Source organism: Homo sapiens, chromosome 7 (genome assembly GCF_000001405.40).
Source record: "Homo sapiens chromosome 7, GRCh38.p14 Primary Assembly".
Taxonomy (NCBI): Eukaryota; Metazoa; Chordata; class Mammalia; order Primates; family Hominidae; genus Homo; species Homo sapiens.
In genome coordinates, this window is record NC_000007.14 from 152,744,293 (window position 1) to 152,753,795 (window position 9,503).

Consider the following 9,503-nt stretch of genomic DNA (forward strand, 5'->3'; position numbering starts at 1 on the left):
CCTCTGAAGTAGCTGGGATTACAGGCATGTGCCACCATGCCCGGCTAATTTTGTATTTTCAGTAGAGATGAGCGTTCACCATGTTGGTCAGGCTGGTCTCAAACTCCTGACAGCAGGTGACCCACTCGCCTTGGCCTCCCAAAGTGCTGGGATTACAGGTGTGAGCCACAGCGCCCAGCCAGTGAGCCCTTTTGTAAGGGTGCTAATTCCACTTATGTGGGGAGAGCCCTCCTCACTTAATCACCTCCCAAACGCCATACCTCTCAACACCACTGCACTGGGGATGAAGTTTCAACATGAATTTTGGAGGGGATGCCACGTCATCATTCAAACCATATCAACATTCACACCAAAGCGAGGGGGATCTTGTTTACTAAACTGTGGGCTACCAGCTCCTGCAGTGGGTGGGTCCATGGGAACCAGAATCCAGCTTTGTGAAAATTAAGATTCAGCCACTTCAAAAGTGGGAAACTACACTTAGACCAGTTCCAGCGTGGTAGAGAAATGTGCAGCATGATGGCATAAGCATTCTTTTTTTTTTTTTGAGTTGGAGTCTCCCTCTATTGCCCAGGCTGGAGTGCAGTGGCGCAATCTCGGCTCACTGTAATCTCCACCTCCTGGGTTCAAGTGATTCTCCTGCCTCAGCCTCCATTGCCTCAGCAATGGAGTAGCTGGGACTACAGGCGCATGTCACCACACTTGGCTAGTTTTTTTGTATTTTTAGTAGAGATGGGGTTTCACCATATTGGCCAGCCTGGTCTCAAACTCCTGACCTTGTGATCCACCCACCTTGGTCTCCCAAAGTGCTGGGATTACAGGCGTGAACCACCACGCCCGGCCAGTATTCATCTTTATATAGGAATTAGGGGATGGGGAAATTATTAGTAATCTCTTTCTTGCTCAATAAGGAGCTTTGGGGAGTATTTTGGCTGAAATGTTTGAGTTACTATTCTAAATGCCTCTGTCCTTCTCAGGAATGAGACCTGCAGACCAGAATGGGAGAGATGGGCAGAAACTCTAGAGCTGGATGGATCTTTTTGGAAAGAGGGAAGAGTTAACTCATGAGAGAGAAAGGATAGCTGCTGCCAGGAGGAAGGAGGCTGGGTGGCTGACGGTGAGTCTTGGGCAGGTAGGCTGAGAAAGAGATGGTGAAAGGGGCATTGGAGAGGGTCTGCAGGCAGGAGCAGTGTGAGCGCTCACTCAGCTACTTGAGAGGCTGAGGTGGGAGGATCCCTTGCACCCAGGAGTGTGAGGCTACTGTGAGTTGTGATTGTCCCACTGCACTCCAGCCTGGGCAACAGAGCAAGATCCTGTGTCAAAAAGAAAAAAAAAAAGATAAGCTCAATTTAAAAGCAAGTAGTGCCCATGTCAAGCTGTATGCTTGTTTTTGTTTTTTGTTGTTTGGGGGGAGGGTGGGATCTTGCTAGGTTGCCTAGCTGTTCTCCAACTCTTGGGTTCAATTGATCCTATGGCCTCAGCCTCCTGAGTAACTGGAACTACAGGTGCATACCACCATGTCTGGTTGGGCTGTATGGCTTTGCCCTTGCATTAGGCACAAAGCTGTGGGCTTCCTGGTGAGCACCTTCAAAGCAGTCTTACTCAAAGAAGCATTGGTCAGGCCCTTAAAGTCACTGAAAACACTCCCAGTCACCATGGCATCTGATATGGTTTGGCTCTGTGTTCCCACCCAAATCTCACCTGGAACTGTAATCCCCGTAATCTCCACACGTCAAGGGAGAGACCAGATGGAGATGATTGAATCACCGGGGTGGTTTTCCCCATGCTGTTCTTGTGATAGTGAGTGAGTCTCATGAGATTTGATGGTTTATAAAGGGCAGTTTCCCCTGCACTCGAACACAGGCTCTCCCACCTGCCACCAAGTAAGACGTATCTTTGCTTCTCCTTCATCTTTGCCATGATTGTAAGCTTCCTGAGGCCTCCCCAGCAATGGAGAACTGTGAGTCCATTAAAACTCTTTTCTTTATAAATTACTCAGTCTCAGATATTTCTTCATAGCAGTATGAGAACAGATTAATACAGCATCTTCCAAGCAAACACTGAAGAGGGGGCTGGAACATTTTCCAGTGGTAATTTTTCTTTTTCTTTGTTTTTTAAGACATGGGGTCTCACTCTGTCACTCGGACTGCAGTGCAGTAGCGTGATCTTGGCTCACTGCAGCCTTGACCTCTGGGCTCAAGTGATCCTCCTGCCTCAGTCCCCCAAGTAGTTTGGACTATAGGTGCGTGCCACCATGCCTGACTAATTTTTTAATTTTTTTGTAGAGACAGGGTTTTGCCATGTTGCCCAGGATGGTCTCGAACTTGTAAGGTAATAAGGTAATTGTAAGGTAATAAGGTAATAAACTGCATCTTTATTCTTCACATCAGCCCTGTGAAGTCACTTCCTACATTTTGACAAGATGGAAACTGAGTCACAGAGAGGTTAAGTACCTTGCCTAAAGTAACAAATGCATCAAGCCAGAGCTGAGATTTAAATCAGGCAGTTTGGCCTCAAAGCCTGTATCTTTGACCAACATGGACTATTTGGCTCTGAATTACAGAAGTTCTGGCACCATGACCATTAAGTGTCTTTGGACACAAGGGAGAGCAGGTATGAGGACATGAAAAATTCAACATAGTTCATTTCTATTAATAAAAAGATGTCTCAAATCTTAGTAATATTGAGGATAGGTGTCTTTCAATCTTTTTTTATACCTTAGTTATAATCCAGATAACCAAAAACAGCTGTGTGATTTTGTCCACACAAATCTAAAGCTGAGAGAATCACGAATGAGAACAAGCTTGGCCCATGGCCTGCGGGCCAAATGCAGCCCAGGATGGCTTTAATGCAGCCCAATGCAAAATCGTAAACTTTCTTAAAACATTATGAGTTCTTTTTGTGATTTTTTTTTTTTTTTTTTTTTTTTGCTCATCAGCTACCATTAGTGTTAGTGTATTTCACATGTGGTCCAAGACAATTCTTCATCTTCCAGTGTGGCCCAGGTAAGCCAAAAGATTGGCCCGCCTTTGAGTTAGAAGAAGGCAGCTGCTGAGGATGAGGGCAGTAATGATATGGACACTTGCCATGTGACACTACTTAGCATTTTTATTTTTAAAAACTTTATTGATTCATTTTTGAGACAAGGACTCACTCTGCTGCCCAGGCTGGAGTGCAGGGGCTTGAACATAGCTCACTGTAGCCTTGAACTCCTGGGCTCATGTGATCTTTCTGCCTCAGCTTCCTGAGCAGCTGGGACTACAGGTACACCACCGTATCTGGCTAACTAATTTTTTTTTTTTTTTTTTTTGGTAGAAGTGGGGTATTGCCATGTTGCCCAGGCTGGTCTCAAATGCCTGGGCTCAAGCTATCCTCCCACCTCAGCCTCCAAAACGGCTGGGATTATAGGCATGAGCCACCATGCCCAGTCCTTGGTATTTTTATACACTAACTTTACAACTCAGAAAAAGCCTTTCTTACAGACAAGGAAACTAAAGCTCAGAGATATTAAATTACTCATACAAAAACATACATTTCTTTTTTTTCTTTTGAGATGGAGTTTTACTCTTGTTGCCCAGGCTGGAGTGGAATGGCACAATCTCGGCTCACTGCAACCTCCACCTCCCAGGTTCAAGCGATTCTCCTGCCTCAGCCTTGCAAGTAGCTGAGATTACAGGCATGCGCTACCATGCGGCTAATTTTTGTATTTTTAGTAGAGACGGGGTTTTACCACATTGGTCAGGCTGATCTTGAACTCCTGACCTCAGGTGATCCGCCCTCCTCAGCCTCCCAAAGTTCTGGGATTACAGGTGTGAGCCACTGCGCCTGGCCTCATTTCTAAAATGGGCTTTGAATGCAGGTCTTTGAGATTTCAAAATGTGGGCTCTTTTTATTCTGCAAAAAACAAGTACAGTTAATTTTATGCATTTTTCTTGGTATAAATTAATATAATTAAAAATGTTGGGGGCCGGACACAGTGGCTCACGCCTGTACTCCCAGCACTTTGGGAGGCCAAGGCGGGTGGATCATGAGGTCAGGAGTTCGAGACCAGCCTGGCCAACGTGGTAAAACCCCATCTCTAAAAAAAAAAAATATACAAAAATTAGCTGGGTGCAGTGGTACACGCCTGTAGTCCCAGCTACTCGGGAGACTGAGGCAGGAGAATCACTTGAATCCAGGAAGCGGAGGCTGCAGTGAGTGGAGATTGTGCCACTGCACTCCAGTCTGGGCAACAGAGTGAGACTCCATCTCAAAAAAAAAAAAAATGTTTGGGCCAGGTGCAGTGGCGCATGCCTGTAATCCCAGCACTTTGGGAGGCCGAGGCAGGCAGATCACTTGAGGTCAGGGGTTTGAGACCAGCTTGGCCAACATGGTGAAACCCCATCTCTACTAAAAATACAAAAATTAGCTGAGCATGGTGGTGGGCACCTGTAGTGCCAGCTACTCGGGAGGCTGAGGCAGGAGAATTGTTTGAACTCAGGAGGCGGAGGTTGCAGTGAGCAGAGATCGCGCCACTGCACTCCAGCCTGGGCGACAGAGCAAGGCTCTGTCTCAAAAAAAAAAAAAAGTTTGGATTAAGAATACAGTATTGGTGAGTGGCCATCTTGCTCCTGCCCCTGACAGAGTCTCCGGTCGGGGTCACAGGGATGCTAAGACTGCTGCCTGGACCTTCGATGACCACGCTGTCCCGGGTGGAACTTTCTGCCACTGCCACAGTGGCCCCCTCTCTGAAGAATGCAGCCTTCCTAGGTCCAGGGGTATTGTGGGCAACAAGGACCTTTCACCCAGGCAGCCACACCTTGCCCCTCTACCACCTTTTCCTGAAAATGGAGGAAAAGTTCGTCTTGGACTGATCCTTGAGGAATTCCTCAGGTTTCTTTATCTTAAAGCCGGTGTAACAGGACCCTGTGTGCTCGGAACTGGGCTTATCTTGTATGCTTTATCCAAAGAAATATATGTGATTATTGCAGAGACCTTCTCGACCATATCAGTAGTAGGGTTACCTGTCTATGCAATTAAAAAATATGGTGCCTCTGTTGCAGAATTTGCTGGTAAACTCAATGAGCAAAAACTTGCCCAACTAGAAGAGGCGAAGCAGGCTCCCATCAAACAAATCCGGGATGGAATTGATTTGGAGAAGTCACAGCAGGCACTAGTTCAGAAGCGCCATTACCTTTTTGATGTGCAGAGGAATAACATTGCTATGGCTTTGGAGGTTACTTACCAGGAACTACTGTATAAAGTATGTAAGGAAGTAAAGAATCGCCTGGACTATCATATATCTGTGCAGAACATGATGCATTGAAAGGAACAAGAGCACATGATCAATTGGGTGGAGAAGTACGTGGTGCAGAGCATCTCTGCACAGCAGGAAAAGGAGACAATTGCCAAGTGCATTGAAGACCTAAAGCTTCTGGCAAAGAAGGCTCAAGCACAGCCAGCTATGTAAATGTATCTATCCCAATTGAGACAGCTGGAAACAGTTGACTGTTTGTGTCTACTGAAGTTATAATTTACCTCTCCTAAAAGTGAAAAGTTTATTTCATAGAGTGAAAGCACAAAATCTATTGGCCAGTCAGATGTTTCTCATCCTTCTTACTCTGCATTTGAGTTCCATGATCACTTCTGAATAAGCAGTTTGCCTTCATTAAAACCTGCTGCCTGACTAAAGATTACCAGGTTACAGTTTAAATTTGTAATTAATTCTACCATCTTTAATGAAGTGACAATTGAATGAAAAAAAATACAGTATCATTTTTACCTTAACTATCAGCTCCAGATATCAGGAACTCAGTGGCCATCTGTTGTTCTGCAAGTTACTCTTGCAGAGAATTCACTTTGCACTTTTTCGTGTAAGGCAAGTACACAAAATAGAGGGGTAAGACATGGAAATGTTGACCTAAAAGGAAGAAGCTGAGGCAAAATTAATCTAAATAGAGAGTTTTTTTGGGCCAAGTTTGAGGATTGCAACCCGACAGCGTAGATTTCAGTTGCCCTGAATCTGCACTCAGGTTAGCAGCAGTTACAAGTGACTTTTTTTTTTTTGAGACGGAGTTTTGCTCTTGTTGCCCAGGCTGGAGTGCAATGGCATGATCTTGGCTCACCGGAACCTCCGCCTTCTGGGTTTAAGTGATTTTCTTGCCTTAGCCTCCCAAGTAGCTGGGATTACAGGCATGTGCCACCACGCCCAGCTAATTTTGTTATTTTAGTAGGACGGGGTTTCTCCGTGTTGGTCTGGCTGGCCTCGAACTCCTAACCTCAGCAATCTGCCCACCTCAGCCTCCCAAAGTGCTGGGATTACAGGTGTGAGCCAACGCGCCGGGCCACAAGTGGATTTTTAAAGGGAAAAAAGAAGCAATTCCTGGCCGGGTACAGTGGCTCACGCCTGTAATCCCAGCACTTTGGGAGTCCGAGGTGGGCAGACCACAAGGTCAGGAGTTCGAGACCAGGCTGACCAACATGGTAAAACCCCATCTCTACTAAAAAAAAAAAAACAAAAAAAAACAAAAATTAGCCAGGCGTGGTGTTGGGCACCTGTAGTGCCAGCTACTCAGGAGACTGAGGCAAGAGAATTGTTTGAACCCGGGAGGCGGAGTTTGCAGTGAGCCAAGATCACACCACTGCACTCCAGCCTGGGCAACAGAATGAGACTCAGTGTCAAAAAAAAAAAAAAAAAAAAGGCAATTCCTGAGTTGTTACCAACAACAATTTATATTAACATCAAATAAACTATTGATGGGCTCTACATTGTTAAGCTGTAGGTTGTGGGTTACAGTGTCCAGTGTGGCATTATTAGGTTAATTTATAGCTACTTGTGGCAATAGTAAGCTGTTTCAAGACATGAATATATAGCTCGGAAAGGGGAGAGTAGGGCACAATCACTGTTTCATTTCAGTGCCTCTCTGGGCCTGGTAGTTTAAAAGGACTGGTATTCCTCTAATAAAAGGTCTTTTCTCAGAAACATAGTGTAACTTTGCACCCAGTTTTCAGATACACATTGTTGCAACTAGAGGTTCTGCTGAATGAAACAGTCTAAGGCAGCAAGTGTGGGTTCCCATTTACCTCCCTGCATCTGTGCCTGCTCTGTTGCTCCCCCCAATTCACTGTGACCTCCTAGTTTCCCAGCACAACTTCTGCTTGAATGGACCAAGTTAATATCTGGTGAAGATAATTTTGTAATGACACAGACTTGCTTCATTCATTCTACTATAATTACATGAGAATTCCTGCTGTCCTGCTTCTGATAATGTTCTAGAATGAACATCAATAAGGAGAGGAGAGACCCTTGGAAAGCCAGCTCCTCCAAAACCTGTTGCTTGTGAGATTGCACAATGGCAAGAAACATTTGGACCTAGTTTTTGGCAGTATGCTGTGTCCAGATTGCCTGGAGTCCCATTTATGCTACTCAGCAGTTTCACTCCCTATTGGCAAAATAGTTTAATTTTTGTTGGATACCACTCAGTCTCTAGGACATACAGTGATTGCCTGATGGGAGTTCATGGGCATTTGTTACTGAAAATAGACAACATTCAAGGTAAAGAGCTCAAAAGTAGAAAAGTGTATGTAAAATGATAAAAGGACTGGGTTAGTCTGAAGGACTGATGACTGAGATTCCTTCTGGCTCTACCATCTATTTCTACCTCTGCTTACCAGATGCTGGTTTTGCAATGCTTTCGCGGTTCCTGTTTTGTCAAGAGAGCCTAAAGAAGGTGCTCAGAACAAAATTAAATTTTAATCTAGGCTAATTTTCAAAGTATGAGCCTCAGTTTTCTTATTTGATTAAGGGAGGTATTTATAATATCTACCTCGTGGGAATGTTAGGAAGATTAAATGTAATGGTGTGCTGAAAATGCTTTGGAAATGAAGATATTATTGTAACTCAGTTCTCCATAAGAATTGAATAGGAAATTGTTACAAACTGTCAACTGAAGAATGATGAGGTTCATACATTTGGAAAGGAGAGCTTTACTTCTCAAAAAGGGCTGCAGCCTGGAGGGGGCCCATTCTGACAGGCTGGGAAGTGTAGCCTCTGGCCAGAAGCTGGAAATAGGCAGTTTGAAAGTTGGAAGAAGAGACAGGGATTTACGCTGAATGGAGTGGCAGAATATACATATTCAATAAGCTATAGGTGGAGCCATGAATATTTATGAGACGGGAAACATGTGCATGTGCAATTGAGCTTCATGCTTCTCCCTGGGTCCCATGTTTAAAAAATGGTGGCATTAAAAGCATGATCTCAGGGTGGAATTTTCAGGACTCTGATGTCAAAAGGTGAAGCAGAGGACTGGAAAACCCTCACTGTGCACCTTGTGTAGACTGGCCAAAACCACTCTGTGGTTGGTGGTCTCTCATCAGGAAGGAATGCTGTTCAGTTGTGTACAAACTGTAAAAAGGGAAGGGTGGCAGTCTAGCCTTTGGTTGAACTCAGTGGTGGCATCTTTTAAAGGCCTGGTTTCTGTTTACCTTTAGGGAAGAAAGTCAAAAGGCAGTTAGAAAGGGAGGGGGTGTAACCAGCCAAGTCCAGCCTTTCACCCTATATTAGTCAGTTTTTATGCTGCGGATAAATACATACCTGAGACTGGGAAGATAAATAGATATGTATGTACGTATGTATGTATTTATTTATTTATTTTGAGATGGAGTTTTGCTCTTTCACCCAGGCTGGAGTGAAGTAGTGTGATCTCAGCTCATTGCAACCTCTGCCTCCCGGGTTCAAGCGATCCTCCCACCTCAGCCTCCCAAGTGGCTGGGATTACAGGTACCCGCCACCATGCCTGGCTAATTTTTGTATTTTTAGTAGAGATAGGGTTTCGCCCTGTTGGCCAGGCTGGTCTTGAACTCCTGACCTCAGGTGATCTACCTGCTTTGGCCTCCCAAAGTGCTGGGATTACAGGCGTGAGACACTGTGTGCAGCTGATAAATAGATTTAATGGACTCACAGTTCCACATGGCTGGGGAGGCCTCACAGTCATGACAGAAGGTGAAAAGCACTTCTTACATGGCAGCGGCAAGAGAGAATGAGAGCCAAGAGAAAGGGGTTTCTCCTTATAAAACCATCAGATCTCGTGAGACCTATTCACTACCATGAGAACAGTGTGGGGGAAACTGTCTCCATGATTCAATTATCTCCCACCGGGTCCCTCCCACAACACCTGAGAATTATGGGAGCACAGTTCAAAATGAGATTCGGGTGGGGACACAGGGCCAAACCATATCACATCCCATTATGGCTAGGAACTCAGCTTTCAAAGTTTCTCTGGGGTCCCCTTGGCCAAGAGGGAGTCTGTTCAGTCAGTTGTGGGGCTTAGAATTTTATGTTTATCTCTCAAACCCTAAATATTGTCTGGTAGTGTGGATGAACTTATTAAAGTGCAGCTCCCCAGATTTCATCTCTGGATTCTGAGTAGTGGGCATAGAATCAGTGATTGATTCTGATGAGAGGCACATGGAAGCACTCAGCATATTTTGTTGAATAAATGAAGCAGATGTGAATTGAAATTGGAAGG

General features: G+C 45.0%; 1 pseudogene; it reads left to right on the forward strand.

The window, feature by feature from the left end:
- On the forward strand, positions 4,598-5,736 carry ATP5PBP3 (ATP synthase peripheral stalk-membrane subunit b pseudogene 3; annotated as a pseudogene).